This window comes from Homo sapiens, chromosome 13, assembly GCF_000001405.40.
Source record: "Homo sapiens chromosome 13, GRCh38.p14 Primary Assembly".
NCBI lineage: Eukaryota > Metazoa > Chordata > Mammalia > Primates > Hominidae > Homo > Homo sapiens.
In genome coordinates, this window is record NC_000013.11 from 106,902,908 (window position 1) to 106,920,492 (window position 17,585).

The window sequence follows — 17,585 nt, forward strand, 5'->3', positions numbered from 1 at the left end:
ACAGATTAGATATCAACAGAATCTCTTCACAGCCACATACAGATTCACATTTGATGGAACACCTGAGTTTGATGGAAAACCGTAGTTTAGCACAGCCAAGCTGCCACATTAAAAAAAATCATCACGTGGAAATTAAGTAAATTGAGTTTCAAGTCCTATTTTCAATGCTGATTGAAAGAAGTTTGACAATCTTTTTTTTTGTTTTTCTAGCTGAAAAAATTAATGAAAATGGACAGCACGACTTTTAGCAACTTATTAGTTTTCAGTTTATTGGGTTTGTCTGGTGTGCATGGTTGACAATATACAAATTTTATATACCTTTACTCCATTGTTATTGACTGTTACAGTTTATAAGCTCTTCTTTAAGCTCTTAGCCACCATTTGCATTAATATTAATATTTAATACAATTATGGCTAATATTATCCTCTGAATGCTTTTATATAATAATAGCTTTGCACTTACACAATACTTCTCTTCTGAAGAGCTGTGAGAGCTTTGTCGACATGAGCCAGATTTCTCCCCCTTGGTAAGCTGTTCTCTAGCCACCCCCAGAGGAAGATTAACACTTTAGAACACAACCTCTATGTTTGCTTGTAGCAGAAATGATCAGTGTTCTTATAGCATAAGATACTTTTCTAGTAGATCCTAGGGGGATTATTTCGTGTTTTAGGCACAACACAAAATCTTACATGGAATAAGTTATTCTTTACAGTTGTGAAACTGAACACAGAACAATGCACACTGAGAAAGTCTGTATTTTTGCATGTTGGGTAAGCTGCAGACAAAACAATACACTGCTCAGTTCAATAGCCTTTTCACATTGGTTTTTGGAAAGCAATGGGTGAAGTCTGGTTAGTGTAGCAGTCTTCCTACTACATACACAGGGGAAGGTTTTCATAGCCAGGAAGAGGAATGTTCTCAGTTAAAAAGATGCTCAAAACCCAAATACTTTCTCTTTGGCTGGAAAAATCAGAAGCAGTCTATTGTGTTCAGATGAAGGTCAGATCATAAGCTCCCCCGGAACATATATCATCACTAAGCAATAAGTAAAGCCGATAATCCAGTTCAGACGACAATGGACTGGGGGGTCATGAAACTTCTTGTTGGTTTTGCCCTAAATAGTGCTGTGGTTTAAGCAATATCTCAGCTTCTCTGAGTCTCTGTTTCTTCACGTATATGGTTAGATAATTAGTCTAAATGGCATTTCTTAAGTTCCATTTTGGGCCTAAAACTTTAGAAGAGTTTAGAAAAGAGCAGTAAAAATTACTTAGAGAAGGGATATGGCTATTCCCATCTGATTTTGGAAATGTTTTGTTTTTTTTTCCCCCTTAATGCCAAATATTTTTTATACATTATGGGCTAAAGACATCAAAGATACTACAATAAAAATAGACAAATTCAATAATTATTTCAGAAAATACGGTGATTTTAGCTGGTTTTAAATATTTGAATGTTATTTACAAACTTCGTAAAATTTCTTTTAACTTTCAACCTAAAATTACAAATCTAAGCCAATTCCTCATTTACACTTTTAAAAGTGTAATCCCAAGGCGAATCTTTTAGATTCTCTAGGATGCAAAATCCTTTTAAACATTATCATTATTTAAAATACCAAATAAGGCCGGGCGAGGTGGCTCACACCTGTAATCCTAGCACTTTGGGAGGCCAAGGCGGGCAGATCACTTGAGGTCGGGAGTTCGAGGCTGGCCTGGTCAACATGGCAAAACCTTGTCTCTACTAAAAATACAAAAAATTAGCCAGGTGTGGTGGCTCGTGCCTGTAGTCCCAGCTACTTGAGAGGCTGAGACTCAAGAATTGCTTAAACTCAGGAGGTGGAGGTTGCAGTGAGCTGACATCGCACCACTGCACTCCAGCCTGGGTGACAGAATAAGACTCCATCTCCAAAAAATATATATATCTACAGATTATTATTCTCAACACGAAAGTCTTCATACTATTTATGCCATCAATATACCTAATTTTAAGCCTCCTGGGTTATTTATAGTCACCTATTTATCCTTTACGGAAACAATTTTTTTATCCCAAGTAATTCAGGTTGCATCATTAATGAGCTGAGTTTGTGCATTCAGAAATTTTGGCGGGGGTATGAGATCCGGAGTGGAAATCCAGGGCAGTTTTTCTCAAAACCATGAAAGACAGACTGAATTTCGTTGATTGTCTCTAGGTCAAACTGGGCCCCAAGTCCAAACACTACAAGTGGGTTGGATTGCACTTTGATTTGTCTTCAGCTCCCCTGATTCAGAGCTCTAATTTGAGCCTGCAACTTCCACTTGGGCTATTTTACCCCTCGTTTAGAATCAATGAAGGCAATTGCTGTTTAGTTTCATTCTGATTTTTTTTTCATACTCATCTTACAGCTATTAAGTTATTGAATTGGATTCTGCCCAGCTCTTGTGTCTCCATCTGACTGTCACAACCATGGCTACTTATTCACTCTGATGACATTATGCATTTTTCCTTCAAACATACTATTTCATTTGAGCCCTACCCTTGCTGATGGGGAGGACAAATATATTCATGTTATGACTATTTTTGTCACGATTGTCCCTAACTGTTGAGTTTGAAGGATATCCCTAGAAACTAATATAGTAGCTACTTGATACATAACAGGTCTGTGTAAACTTGCTAAATGAGTATCAGCTCTGAATTGTTATTGTGCAATATCAGAGTTGTGTAGTTTAAAAAATCCTATCATTCATTTCTCCAATTCAGATAAATCTCCAAGAGCCCCTCAACTCATAGAATATTGAATCCTAAAATCACAATTAAGTGGGCACGGACCTTGAGGCAGTGCATTCTGTTGCCCCACTGACCAGCTGAGCAAGCACCCACGACTGTAATTCTCAGACTTGGATTCTTGCAGCCTCCAGCCCACAGGCTGGGCCTCTTCCTTACAGGCGGGCAGCAGCGGACCAGGAGCAGACCAGCACTGCAGCTCCCAGACAATAACAGACAGACGCGGGAGGAATTGCTTCTCCACTTTGCCCCCTCTAAGCACAACTCCCTTCTTCCTGAATCCGGACACCTGACTTCAAAGCCTCCACAACATAGTTCTATCTTCCTCCTCCCCTATGAGTTGAGCCTTTTCCAAGTAGCCTGGATGGGAGAGGCTTCTGAATTCCTGGAAACTTCTGTTTCGTGCCATGCGTAAGGGTGTGTGTGCGCACGCCTGCACGCACACACACACACACAGAGCAAGGAGACACACGTCCTTACTAATTTGTTGCAGTGGAGAGGAAAATGGCAATAGGTTAAAGAAAGAAACAGGAGTTGATAAGTCAACACATTATCTTTCAATACGTATTTTGAATTAGTAATTATAATAATAAAATACTTATTTAGTGATATATACTTTACAAAATGCTTTCATGTATACATATTTAAATGATGGCCATGCTCAGGACTCACCTTAGATGAACTGAATTAGTCTCTAGAGGTGGCCCAGGGCTATTTCTTTTTAGAGTTTTCTAAAGGATTTTAACATGCAAGCAGGAATGAGTAACAGAACTGAAAACACTGCTTTTCTGATTTCCAGTGCCATGCTTTTAACATGGTATCGCAGTAATCACTGGCATGTGGTTAATAAGGACATTAATTCTTGCTGCTCTGTGAGGTAGACGGAAAATGGTTTCTCCAGGCATTTCTGGGAGTCCGCCGCCATTCAGGGAAGGGATTCTCCGAAAGCAGCGCGGCAGCAGGGAGCAGGCGGCGGGGCACAGAGCGCGGGTGCTTCTCTAGGTCCTGCAGATGCAGTTTCTCTTGACTCAGTGCAGATACTGCAGTCAGAAGTGTTCCTAAATGGATGATATCATGAGCTGCAGGGAATTTACAGTCCCTCGGCATAAACCCTACTCACCAGACCCCACAGTGTTTGAAATGTGGCCTGGGTAGCAGGTAAAGGGCTCAACAATCATGCTTTTGTGTAGGGAACTGGCAAGAGTGTGCCCCAGACGTGATGAATCATGTTCTTAGGAGGACAGCAAGATTTGGGGTTTCTTTCTCCAATGGGTTTTCTTTCTTTGTCATCATCAGTCATTATTTACATCACCTTTTTCCCTCTTGCATCTATTTTGTCTGTGGGGACAGACACAGAGAAAAGCTGTGACTTCTTGCTGTGCTCTTGCTGCTCAGTTTACAATGTAGCTTCTTGGGGAGGACTAAGGTGAGCAGGCAGCCTTCTGGAAAGGACAGTCTTCCTACTGAGGGCTCTAGGAGTTTTATTTGGGTGATACTGATTCCCCTCTATCAGTCAGTTGGAAAATATATTTGAAAATGCAGTTGAAGTCGTTTTAAATGCACCTGCTTTATTGGGTGGAGGGTGGAAATCTTATTTACACAAGAGCTACGTCAAATGATTAGGGGAGAAAATCATTAAAATATGTGCGTTAAATTCTTGTCAGCTTTGGTTTTAAAAACGTATGTTTTGTGTAAAATGATAGCGCTTCTGTCACTGAGGATGGAAAAATCTGAAGATTAAGGGAGTTAATAAGCCATTGTTTGTAAAACAAAGATTTGATCAGGAAAGAGAGTGAAACTTGGAAGGAGTTGTCTCAAAAAGAAAAAAGAAAGAAAGAAAAAAAAAACAACAGCAAGTGAAGAAAACGCCTTGATGCAGCAAGAGTGGAGGGTCTTTCCAGACTGGGAGATAAAAGACAGGCTGGTTTCTTATTACTGTAATTGCTTCCTGCCTGTTTGGGTCCCTGGTAGAGAGTGGAAGCCAAGAGATCAGAGAGAAGAGAAAAAACATTCTAGAACGATAAGGAGAGGAACACTGCAAGGTCTACCATTTAATTAGTGCAAGCGGCCTCAATAGCTGAGTGGACCTAGGGTGGCTGATATGGAGGAGAAAACCTTGGCAGATATGAGACCCTAGAAGGCCTACGGTGACAAGGTGGCCCATTGTCCCATGGCTGAAGGTCCTGAGACGCAGTGAGCCCTGGAAGGGATGGAACCTTTAAATCCGACTTCACAACAGGTTAGGAAGTTGCTTTCTAGGAAAGGATAGGGAAAATGGTGATGATTTCATGAAGCTACATGCTAGAGTTATACTCTAGTTATATGCCAAGGCTGAAAAAAGCATTTAAACAATTATAGTCTTTAAATGAATTTTTATGGAGGCTTCTTTTATTTATATCCTATTTATTATATTATGTGCAAAAGATTAGTGAGTAAAGAGCTGTGCTTGTTTGTTTATTTCTCACCAACTAGTTAAAACTTGGTAGTTCAGGTCACTCAAATGAAGCGTCTACCTGTGATCCTCCCGGGAAAGTCTGTTCTTTGGTGAGGACCTGCTAACTCTTCGGAGTTAAAACCATGACTTTAGCTGTAATGTGGCCATTCCAAATGTCCTCTTGCAGGGTTACAAAGCCTTTTATTCACTGAACCAATAATTGAGTGTCCTGTGTGCCAGGCACTTGCAAAGAACTGAAGTTTAAGACATACAGAACATTCTGCCCTTTGGAAGCTCCAGTCTAGGAGAGAAATCTAAACTTGAAGTGCTGTAGAAAGGGTCAACTCCAGATACTATTTTAGAAATAAATGGTTTGTGGTCTGGCCTGAGACAAAGATGGAAGTTATGGGAAGAGACATGGGCTGCTATCCTCACCAAAGTAAATTTAGGTACAGATTTTCAGATTACTTTACAGTTGTATAGGTTTTCAGGAAAAAATCCTCTCAAGCCCATGTGTGTGTAAAGAAGGTGAGTTTTAGAGACACAAAAACTTAGGTTTCAGTCCACGCTCAGGACTAAGACCCACCTGGAGCTGGCAAGTTGTTTACCTTCTGAGCTGCAGACAGAAGTTCACATCTGTTATACAGACACGATGGTATCCAACTCATCTGACATTATGAGGAAGCAATGAGATGATTTGGGTAAAGCAGTTGGCATCTAGAAAGGGATTAATAATTTGTAGCTCTTCTTATTATAATGTCAAGAGTGGAACTCCAGAAATATCTTTTACTTCAGAGCCCGAACATCTCCATCTGGAGACAGAAAGGCTCCCGATGTGTCTTGCTAACTTCAGAGATGTGCTTCCTCCCAGCCTCCCCTGTGCATTGCCATCAGCATGATCCGTCTGAAACCCAGAGCTGAAATGCTTCCCTATTTCAACCCTTCAGTGAGTCTATTGCCTAAAAATGAAGTCCCTCTTTCCTGCTTGATACACAAGGTCACCCAAGTTTGATGGGATCTATTTCCCCCATCTTGTCTCCTACCTCCCTCCTACCTCTTAGGACTTTTTCCTTCACCAACTAAGCAAGGCCGGGACACTGAACACAGCGCAGCCCTCTTCCTCTGTGCTTCATCTTCCCTTGGCATGCCGCTTCACCTTGACTTTCTGTAAACATCTTTTAATACATCAGGCATTTATGGAAAAATTCCCTGGCTGTAACCTTCCATGATAACATGACTGTGCTCTGTACCTACTGCACACAATTGCTTGTAAATTGTTATTGGATAACAATTAGATATTTTCACAATCCCTCTCCCTGACTACATGCATGCTTCTCAGGGTCTCCTATGTAACTCTAATTCCCAGCCCAGTTCCTGGTACCTAGTTGGCATTTGGTATAATTTATTGAAGTAAATGTAACTGTGGTTGCTGTTTTTTTATTCTGACTTGGTTTAACCTATATTTGTAAATTCTTGTTTCCCTTAGGACAAAGCCCTGACAGTTGCTACAGTTTGTTGTTAGCATTGCTGACAATTATAAATCTTGTTTCAGGCACTTTGTCTCCATTATTGCATAACTCGGAATTGATTTACTATGCATCATAATTTGTCTGGTTCCTCTCTGTGTCCTTGCATTGTCTGCAGTGACCTACGCACATCTCTAAAGCAATGTTGTCTTCCTTTCTTCCCCTAGCCCTGGTGAGCCCCTCTGTGCCCTCTGGCACCTTTGGCCATTCGCTTTAATTGTACTTCATCTTCCTTATGACTTGCTCTCTATTGTTTTGAGACCCATGTCTCCAATGTCATCTGGTATCCCTTGATGATATATTCTGGAACCAACTCTGCGTATCTGGAATGTGCGTCTCTTTGTCAGAATAACCTGTGCTCATCACCTATGCTGTCATACTAATAGCACTTGGGGATATTTATAGGTCCTTGTAAATACCACAATGGCTTCTGCTGCATCGCCTGATTGTTTTTCTGATACTAATGTTTGGATGTTGGCTAATTTTCTTAAGCATAATGCTGATAAAATAGGGCTATTATAGAAAAGTCCTCTCCACAGAGATATCTATTGACTCCTTCATCCTGCATGGTTTCTTCAGTCTGCCTTTTTTTTCAGACTTCCTAATCTTTGAATCACTTTTGACCTTGAATTTCCTTGTGAGACATATTTGAAACAAATCATTATTTTCATGATTATCTATGTCAATGTCTTAAATTTAAATCACTGATTCCATTGGATGAGACTTCCAATGAAACAAAAATACCATGGGCATACATTACCATCTCTCACATCTCTAAATCAAAAGGTGGACAGTTATGTTGATCATTGCCTTTGACTTTCCCATTAGTTTGCTGTCATCATTTAAAATACCTGACATATTTTCTGCTCTTTGTCAGTTTAATAGACAGTTCCAGACTTCTCCTGAACACAGTTGTTTTGGTATAATTACTTTCCTTTTACTTGGACAATCCAAATCATTGATTTCTTCAACTGACTTTCTATTTCTCCGTGTGAGGCTTTTTCAAGTCCTTTCTCCCCCTCACCATTATTATTTTATTTACTTTGGAATAAAATAGAATTCCATTATATAACACTCCACAAATTTGGGAGTTGTATTAATTCAATGCATTATAGATGGGATGAATTAGTTTGTTCTCACAGTGCTATAAAGATACTACCTGACACTGGGTAATTTATAAACAAAAGAAGTTTAATTGGCTAACAGTTCCACATGGCTGGGAGGCCTCAGGAAACTTAATCATAGCAGAAGGCAAAGGGGAAGCCAGGCACATCTTACGTGGTACCAGAAGGGAGAGAGAGCGCAGAGGAAACTGCCACTTTTAAACCATCAGCTCTCGTGAGAACTTCCTCACTATCATGAGAACAACATGAGGGAAACTGCCTCCATGATCCAATCACCTCCCACTAGGTCCCTCCCTTGACACGTGGGGATTATAATTCAAGGTGAGATTTGGGTGGGGACACAGAGCCAAACCATATCACGGAAGCATGCCTTTGCTTTGCAACTAAAAGACATACCCAACTCAAGAATCCACTCCAGTCAGAGTAGGTTGAAAGTGAAACCTACTGTACATCATTTCCTTGTCTTCATCACTCAGTACCTGCAGTGAAGCCCTGGCCGTCTACTCATGGCTGTGCCTCTTTCATTAGTCAACATCACTTCCGTAGTCCCCAGCCCTCCACCTCTACTGATCATCAAAAGCATTCTCTATCGCAAATGCCTTTGTGCCATCAATCTCTTCTCCTAGTGTTCTCTCCAGTTTCTTGCATTGTTGCCTGGCTATCTGCTGGAACCACAACTTTCCCAGATGCCCATCAATAGCTGCTGTATATTTTCCTGCACTTCACCTACTTCAGGGACAGAGAATGGCATTGGTTTCTTCCTGGATCCTCATTGCTGCTTCAGAACATAACCCCTCCACTTCTCCTTTTGTAAAAAGAAAATTGAGCCACAAAAACCCTAGTCTTCTGATGCTCAAGACATTTCACACTAATAACCATCTCTGTCTCCATTGCTATCATCTACCTTCTGACCATCAAAATATCATGAATTTTGCACACAACAGTCTTTTTCTTTTCCCCAAGTCATCTCATCAGTGCAGGTGACTTCTAACCCCTGTGGGTAGGTCTATCCCTGCCCTTCCCTCTGTGGACTTCTACTCTGCTTCAGCTTGTCACTCCTACAGTCACGCTGACAAGCTTGTTATGAGTCATAACTAGAAACACTTCCAAAGTCATGATTAGAGCAGTGACTTTCGACCACGAATTTTCTCTATCTCCTGCTAACTTGTGAAACTATTTCCACCATGACAGTTCTTCCGTCTTGCCTAGCCTTCTACCCATATCTATTTTTTTTTCTCTATCAGCCTTCTCCTTTCTTCACTTCCCTCCTCATGGAGCTTGGACTTAATGATTCATCTTTTTATCAAATCTTGTCAATACCCAAAACCCTCTTGCCCCTTGGTTTGTGTGTGGTTTCTTTCCCCCAAACTGGTCTGACAAAAAAATCCACCTTAGAAGGACCCAACTATCATTCTTCTTTGACTGCCCCTAATTAGCTGAGTTCTTCTGGAGGACGCCACATATCAGGAGAGAAAGGATCTACCTTAAATTCATCACTAAACGGCTGGGCGCAGTGGCTCACGCCTGTAATCCCAGCACTTTGGGAGGTCGAGGTGGGCAGATCATGAGGTCAGGAGTTTGAGACCAGCCTGGCCAACATGGCGAAACCCCGTCTCTACTAAAAATACAAAAATTAGCCGGGTGTGGTGGTAGGCTACTGTAGTCCCAGCTACTCAAGAGGCTGAGGCAGGAGAATCGCTTGAACCCAGGAGGCAGAGGTTGCAGTGAGCCAAGACTGCGCCATTGCACTCCAACCTGGGCGACAGAGCGAGACTCCATTTCTAAAAAAAAAAAATTAATCACTACAAGCAATGCTGCTTCAATCCTACTAGAGATTTCTTTAGTTAACTATTACTCCACTCTGCACAAGAATGATTTCAAACACTTTCCAGTTTCCATAAATCTCTGAGCATTTTCCTGGGCACAGTTAGGGACACTTGGTTGATGTCCTCATTTCCCATTTTACAAAAAAAGAGGTAGGCATTGGATAGGAGTTCTGTCATCTTCTGAAAAACACACAAAGAAATCAACTTTCAGTACTGTTTACTCTCTTTGTGCTTCCTCCTTATGTAATTAGGGAAACTCCTCCATTTATTCTCTGGACTCTACCTTCGCCATCCTATTCTTTTTCTCTAGAATGCATTTAATTCCTTTTTCTCCAGAATCATTTAAAATAGCTTCTAAATATATTCCCATTCCACAGAAATCTTTCAAAAAAACTCGAAGCAGAATTCACTGTAGAAGGGGAATAGAACACAGTGCTTAAGAGTACAGACTCTAGAGCCAAATTGCCTGGGGGCAAGTCCCAGCTTGGTTATTCTTCAGCTTTGTGACTTTGGCAAGTCTCTTTTGATCTGAGGACAGGTGATATTTTTCAGGTTTGGGAAATTATTTTTCCATTGTGTTTTTGGAATCTCTTCTCTTTTCTTCCTTTTCCTGGTTTATGACACTCCTCTTATTGGAATATTAGACCTCCTGCATTTGTCTATCCTTCATATTTTCTATTTTTTCTTTCTGTTATTTTATTCCATGTCCTTGAAGATTTCCTAGACTTTACTTCTTTCCCTTTTCATTGATGTATGTTTTTTCAATTTCATTAATCATATATAACACCTCACTTATTTTGTGATTATGATTTTTTCATTACATTCTATTTTATAAATATACCATTTTCTCAAATCTATCAATGAGAAGTTTTCTTTTTCAAAGTCTCTTTATTCTCCAAATGCCTGTTTCTTTCTAGGCTCATTTTTTTTCTTTCTTTTTCCTTGGTCTTGCTTTTTTACCTTGACAAGGCCCTTCTTTGAAATTGGCTCATTTACTGAAGGACAGGGAAGCTGGTGGGGACCATCTCTCTGGAGTGTGAGAGAGCACCACCGGCTGCCTGCCCCTCACCACACACAATCCTTTCCTGCTTCTCTTTTTCCTGGGGTAGACTCATGGAGCCTCTTAAATGTGGGCATAGCCTATTTCCTAGCTGGCTTCTGGTCAGGGTGAATGGGCAGAGTGCCTACTATTAGCTGCAAGCTCCTCCCCCACCATCCAAGAGAAAAGGTGAGAACAAAAAGAGCTTGACCCTGGACTGCCAGCACCCCCACTGTTTTTCCTATTTTATTGTTCCACTGGAAATAAATCCCCAGTTATTATGCACTAAAGACCTTCGGGGAGATGAATGTTCATGGACTTGCTCTGTTGCTGGCCGTCTTGTTTTCTCTCATTCTCTCCTGGACCTGGTTTTCTCTGCTGCCCCACAGCCTCTCGGTGGAGACACACAGGACTGCTGCCCCCTTCCTGAAGCCCCTTCCCAGAGCTGTATGCTCTGGGCTGTGTTCCTTGTCTGTGCTTCACAAGCCTATAGGCTTGCCTTTGCTTTCCCTTTCCCAATAATTCACCGAAAACTCCTATCTGTCAATGACCTCTTTTTTAGAGCTATGGATTTATTTCTTTTTATAAAAGTGTTTGCTATTAGTATAAGAAGTCTGATGGACTTCAAGAGAGTTGAGAAGCAATCCATGCATTCATTTCTACCAATTTAAATTTGAGGCTCTCATAACTAGTTAACAAATTCATGAACGAAGAATTATTTTTTTGGTATAGAATGATCACTAAGCATAAGGCTTGAGACTTTCATCTGTGTCATGTCATCAACTTCTCATAATGACCCTAAGTATCCCCAGTTCACAAGTGAGGAAACTGAGGTTTGGAGAAGTCTATTAATTTGCTTGAGGATGCAGAGCTCATAAATGGCTGAACCAGTATTCGAACCCAGGTCCTCCAATTCTAAGCTGTTTGCTTTATTTATTTCACATCTGAAAACAAAGTAGCTATCCTAGACTTTGAGGAAGGCTGAATATAATGAAGACAGAAATTGTGTATATGATCACCTGTGTGAGATATAGCACCTGGATCTTTTTGTACAATGGGCGAACAAACATCAACAATGAGCTTGTTCTTCGGAATTTACATTAACAGGATAATAACTTGACAGTCAGAAATAAGAGCAGTATTTGTGAGTCCTAAAATTATCTGAGGACAGAATTAGGATCTAAATGGTCATAACAGGCATGACTGGCCAGGTGCAGTGGCTCATGCCTGTAATTCCAGCACTGTGGGAGGCTGAGGGGGGCTGATCGCTTGAGTCCAGAAGTTAGAGACCAACCTGGGCAACATGGCAGAAACCCTGTCTCCACAAAAACACAAAGAATAAGCCGGGGGTGGTGGTGCACACCTGTTGTCCCACCTACTCAGGAGGCTGAGGTGGGAGGATAGCTTGAGCTCAGGAGGTCAAGGTTGCAGCAAACCATGATTGCATCACTGCACTCCAGCCTGGGTGACAGAGCGAGACCCTGTCTGGAAAACAAACAACCAGGTATGACTGGAAAAATTAAATCTAATCGAAGTAATTTCATAGGGACAGGATTATCAGATTTAACAAATTAAGGAACACTTAATTAAATGTGAATTTCAGACAGATAATGATTAATGTTTTGGTATAAATATGTCCCACTAAAAATTGTTTGTCTGAACTTTAAATGTAACTGCTTATTGCACTTAGTCAATGCTACACAGAGGTAAATGCATTCTTTTGCATTCCAGCCTTAAAACTCAATTATGCAACTGTAGAGTCAGAAAGGGATGCCTAGGAGTTCATGTGACAAGGCTTATTTGTTTAGGTTAACCGTAGTATCAGTGTAAGTCTTACAATGTGGAGGGAAAAAGGTAAGTGAGAGCTGAGGTCACGTTAAAACAAATAGAGCCCCTAAGGAAATGTTTCTCAAAATACGGGTTGAGGAATACTTGTTCAAGTACTTGGGCTGTTTTGTAAAACGCAGCTTTCTGGGCTCTAGAAATGTAAATATTTAAGACGAGGGCTCAGAAATGTCCATTTTTAAACAATTTCCCCAAGTAATTCTCCTACAGGTAAAAGTTTTGAGAATTGCTGAAAACAAAAATCGAGGCTGTCTCACTGGGCACTGCTGGGGCCAAGCTACACCCAGTAGGTCGGGCTCAGGTTCCAGTGCTGTTGGAAACACAGGTCCTGAGCGATGAGACCAGGATGGTGGACATCTGCCACGCTGTGACACGCAAAATAACAAAGAGCCCCCCTGCGCTGTTTAGCCTAGAGAATTTTCAAGAAGACATGAGCGCTTTCTTCAAAATACAATTGTGGAAGAATGTTTGAATTTTTTTTTTCATTGTGTCCCCAGAAGTTAGAATTAAAACCGATGAAAACAAATTATGAACAAAGTTGGGTTTAATATAACCCGTATCCTACCTAAAAATAGAATGAACCTCCTTCGGAGATGGTGACTTCTCTATCAATGGGGGGTGTTTCAGAAAGGAAGGGGGAAGTCTTGCCGGATATTCTGCTGCTATGAATCTCTGGGAGGCTGGCTTCAGGTCAATTTTGTGCACCAGTACCAGACACTTCCTAAGGCCTTTGCCTATAAAAATCTCCGTTTCAATATTGAGAACCAGCATGTTTTCAGAGATCAATGAAAATAATTTCAGTGTTGAAATTTTTAAAAACTCAAATGAAATAACCAGGCCTCTGGATTTTGTCTGGCATAGAAAATGCTGAGAGTGACCTGATGGTTTTCAGAATCACGTTGGATACAGTTGAGAAAGAACTTAAGCTCCTCATTTTGAAGATGAAGACAGGAAATGCATTGTCAACAGATGATTCCCCCCCCGGCCCCCCCGCCCCACCCCGCCCCGCCCCAAAAAAAGGCAGGGTTGTTCTTGGGGCAAACTGTGGAATCTCCTTTTGCAGACGAAATCTTTCTGCAATGGCTGAGTCAAGTTCAGCGGAATGGGAGGAGAGTGGGCCGTGGGGAAACGTGTTACTTGTGTGTTACTCTTAGCAATCGTATGATCCTTATTTAACTTAAAAAAAAAATCTTTCCTTTAAAATTACACATGCATAACCCGAATAGCAGTTCCATCACTTCTTTTCAAAATGTGCATTCTGAATTTAATTCTTTTCTAATTTGAAATATTTGAAAGTGCCGACTCTAGTTCGTCTTTCAGTACAAACCAACATGCCATGCAGCAAACTCACATTCCTTATTGAAAGGGGAAAAGCGCTGTGTTTTTTGAGAGGGAAGGGAAACACTTTTAAGTGAAGCACTTACAGTTCATGTCGTTTTCAGTGGGAGATGAAGCTGCTGAGAAATTCAATGGTTGTTTGTTTGTTTGTTGTTTCCACAATACAATGAATTTTAAAAAGTGAGCCCACTCATGACTCAAATTACCCAAGTCTGACCCAAGCGAAGGTGCCCCTGGAGTTCTGGAAAACGCAGGAGGCCTCCGCGGGCTGGGTGCGCCCCGAGCACTGCCATCCCTTTTCTTGTAATTACTTAATAGCCTGTGCCTTTGTCTTTTGCTTTGTTTTCTTAAGGAAATGTTAAAAAAAAAAAAAAAAAAAAACGGTGTACAATAAGAAATGAGACTTGAATGCGAGCGGGCGGGAGGCAGCGCTGAAAGAGGCGGCCGTGGATGCCACGGCGCTGGGTTCAAGTCCCGGTCCAGGGGGTTTGAGGGGACCGGGAGACAGTGGCCGCAGCGGCCATGGGGTCCCCGCAGACCTGGCCCAGAGTGCGGAAGGAGTCGCCTGAGCCGCTGTTTTAATTCGTGAATTCATTGAAAGACGAGAGGGCCCCAGGGACTCCCTGGGAACGCTTGGATTGCGGGGGGGTGGGGGGGGGGGCGGTCAGGGCTTTCCTACCCTCCCCGTTTCCCATCCCTCAGAATGTTCTAGAAATCTCAGCACACAGGAAGATGCAGTGGCCGAGGCCCGTAGAAGGAAGCGGGCGAAGGGCGGAGGAGGACGCGCGGGGCCGGGGCCGGGGCCGGGGCCGGGGCCGGGGCCGGGGCCGGGGCCGGGGTCGGGGACGCGGGGCAGGTTCGTGGCGCAGCCCGGGGAGACCTTGGGCGAGGCCTCCAGGCGGGGACGGGAAAGGGAACGGGAACGGGGACAGGGCGCAGGGCAGAGGGCCGGGACGGAAACGGGGACAGGGCGCAGGGCAGAGCACAGAGCGCAGGGGCGCAGAGAAGGGGACGAAGACGGGGCCGGAGGCGCCTGAGGGGGGCTCCGTGCGGGAATCGGCGGCGCCACCCAGCCCCGCACATCGCCGAGAGAGGCCCGCGTGCTTCTGAGAGCGCCGCCCCTGACGTTTCTGCTGCGCGCTGGGACCGAACCTACAGGAAGCAAAACCCTAGAGGAAGAAGTCGGCGGCTTTTTGGCTCGGAGACAAAATGGAGCCCCGCGGATGCAGCCTGGGCTCCCTCGGGCGCATCCCCAGAAGCTGCGGGTGTCCCCGGAGGACTTGAAGTCCTCCCGTGCGTCTCGATGCCACCAGTTTTTGTTTCTTTGGTGAGGAATCGGTTCACGGTGAAACTTCATTCCTCAGCCGGTGGGGAGCCGAGGCTGGGCCGGGCGGCGAGGGTTGCGCTGGGACGCACTGCCCCCTACTGGCCGCTGCGCCGCGTTCCCAGCTGCTCGAGCGGGTGGTTCAGTGAACTCGGATTAATTTAAATACAGCCGTAGATTTGGCTTTTTTCCCTCCCGGGCGAATCTAAATTTAAAAAAAAAACTAGGGAGAGTACCAAACTTAAAATAATAAACAGACTGAAGGATATTATTTCTTAACCTTTATACAGCCTCCTAAAAGAGTGAAAATTTTATTGTGAGTAAAATCAGAGTTTGGCTCTCTGGTATCCCTTCTGCTTTAATGTGCTTTGAGACTATTCTTATGAGACTAGAAATTCTTTGGTTAATGCATATTTATTAAAGACTAAATCATACTACTTTCCAAAATATTAGGCTCTATCAGCAATCCTTGATATGCAAAGAAACCATCTTAGTCCACCTCCAAGAGCAAAACAAATAATGCAGTGAAATATCTTTAAAGTTCAAACAGAATGTTACCAGACATACTTGAGTTATAGCGTCCAAATTACTAGGTTACATAAATTGCTCACAAGCAACCATCACCTGATCATTTTATGTTTTCTAATAACTTAAATGTCCCTAAATTGTAGAGTAGATTAATGCGTAATCGTCAAAGGAACTGTGCTAAAGTCAAAGTCACTTGCAAAGCCTGGATTGGAATTAATTGTCTCAAAATCCTTAGCCTACTGCTTCAACTACAGAACAATGCTCTGCCTTTATTAGTAAGTAGGAGAAAGAAGTTGTTGTGTCAAACACTTTATTGCAAATCCGAGGTTCAGCAGTGAATTCTAATTAATTTTATTATTAAAAAACCCCAAACTTTAAAACATTTTTTCAAAGGGTGGCAACTGTGGCATGGAAATGGATGGATCATTGTTTATTGAAGGGATGTCTCTGTTAGAGTTAGTTGTGTTTTGCTGAGTATAATTATTTTGGGGTTTGGAGGAACTGAGGTGGCTTTTCCTCCGGTTCTTCAAATTAAATAGCTGGATTGCACACATCTTCGTTGGGTTCTGGTTGAGTAAACTTCAGTGTAGTGGGGTGTCACATCACTTCCTGGATGAACAGTTGGTTGCCGAGAGCAGGTTTATTTAAAGCCAGAAACTCGTTTAAATAAGTCTTTGGTCACGCTGTTGAGGGGGCTGTTAATGCAGTGTGAGCAGCGACCATCCATGCATGGGGAAGTTGATAAAAGAATCTCTGGTTTTCTGACGATGTAGGTCTTAGTGGAGCCTTTTTGGTAAATCTAAGACTTTATGTTCATTTTATTATACACAGTCTTAATTTGAGTCTGAAAAGGGGAGCTCCAGGGCAGACATAAAATTAACTTCTCTTTCAGCGTCCTAACCTTTGGGTTTTAATTTATTCACTTGTCAATCTTATGAATGCCTCATGAACCCCAGCTATTGATTTCCGTGGCCAATGCTATTTTTCCTGTTTATTATAATATATTGTCCCATTGTTGCCGGCCGTTTGCGCTCAGTTAGATTTCCCACACAGCGGACAGGAAACCGTTCCATGGCATCAGACTTCCTTAGATTGATTTTCACAGAGGCAGGGAGGGACCTGCCCACTTCTGGGCCCTTTGTGCTGAGACTACACAGGGGCCCCAGCAACCCGCCTGTGTGGACGCTTCCTTCCAGGCCCCCAGTGCAGACAGCAGTCTCCCCAGGCCCTCCCACTGCAGTCCCACGCAGCCCCTGGGAAAAGCTCCCCTTATCAGCGCTGAATGTTATGTCATTTCTTTTTACTCACGATGTTTATTGTCTTTAGAGCCTGCTCTGTGGGAATGTTCTTTTCAAGGGCGACAATGGGGAACCGGGGAACAACACCGGTGAAATCACACAGCCCTGGAGCGCCAGGCCTTCCAGTTGCTTCATAATTAGAAAACAAAACACTCAGCTACAATACAAATGATGTTTTTACACTCCCTGGCTACTGAATTATTTATTAATAAAAAGCTTTATCACCACTGCGTTACCTAACACCCTAAAAGTAGGTTACAAGAAAAACTGAGAACCCATTCGGGATGAACCGGAAGAATGAAAGGGCTCTTTCTAAAAAGTAGTCCATGTTTATGTTACTATTTTGAGTTGTACTGAACACCCGTAAGCTTTTTGGCAAACGTCAGCATGTGCCCCAGTGAGCTGGGATTTAAGAGACACCTGTCCTACCTATAGCCAACACTCAGTTTGAAATAATTTAAACTCAACAAACTGACTGAGACAGCACATGTGGGTGTTTTATATTTGTAAAAAGTAGGCCGCTACAATTATTGATTTGTTTAGAT

At 42.5% G+C, this 17,585-nt stretch overlaps 1 protein-coding gene across 3 annotated transcripts, besides 4 other annotated features; it reads right to left on the reverse strand.

Annotated features, from left to right (window-relative positions):
- Positions 1-242: 242 nt before the first annotated feature.
- On the reverse strand, positions 243-15,583 carry LOC124903248 (translation initiation factor IF-2-like). 3 transcript variants are annotated; one of them, XR_007063941.1, is made up of 2 exons: positions 13,977-14,222; positions 243-3,816 (listed from the first exon to the last, which is right to left on the reverse strand). XR_007063941.1 is itself a non-coding variant. In XM_047430858.1 (2 exons), the coding sequence occupies exon 1, from the start codon at positions 15,245-15,247 to the stop codon at positions 14,555-14,557; it is 693 nt and encodes a 230-aa protein (XP_047286814.1). In that variant the 5' UTR covers positions 15,248-15,583; the 3' UTR covers positions 12,071-12,192; positions 13,977-14,554. The 3 variants fall into 3 exon arrangements, 1 of the variants encoding a protein (XP_047286814.1); XR_007063942.1 differs by lacking the exon at positions 13,977-14,222 and adding an exon at positions 5,779-7,845; XM_047430858.1 differs by lacking the exon at positions 243-3,816 and adding an exon at positions 12,071-12,192 and having other exon boundaries at positions 13,977-15,583.
- Positions 14,620-15,497: an enhancer, noted in NCBI's record as "H3K27ac-H3K4me1 hESC enhancer chr13:107569875-107570752 (GRCh37/hg19 assembly coordinates)". NCBI's record gives its function as "activates a minimal SCP1, AML or CMV promoter by ChIP-STARR-seq in primed H9 embryonic stem cells {active_cell/tissue: H9 hESC(primed)}" and the evidence as "EXISTENCE:reporter gene assay evidence [ECO:0000049][PMID:30033119]".
- Positions 14,812-14,871: a silencer, noted in NCBI's record as "silent region_5493". NCBI's record gives its function as "represses an Ori minimal core promoter by ATAC-STARR-seq in GM12878 lymphoblastoid cells {active_cell/tissue: GM12878}" and the evidence as "EXISTENCE:reporter gene assay evidence [ECO:0000049][PMID:35858748]".
- Positions 15,052-15,131: an enhancer, noted in NCBI's record as "active region_7985". NCBI's record gives its function as "activates an Ori minimal core promoter by ATAC-STARR-seq in GM12878 lymphoblastoid cells {active_cell/tissue: GM12878}" and the evidence as "EXISTENCE:reporter gene assay evidence [ECO:0000049][PMID:35858748]".
- Positions 15,222-15,311: an enhancer, noted in NCBI's record as "active region_7986". NCBI's record gives its function as "activates an Ori minimal core promoter by ATAC-STARR-seq in GM12878 lymphoblastoid cells {active_cell/tissue: GM12878}" and the evidence as "EXISTENCE:reporter gene assay evidence [ECO:0000049][PMID:35858748]".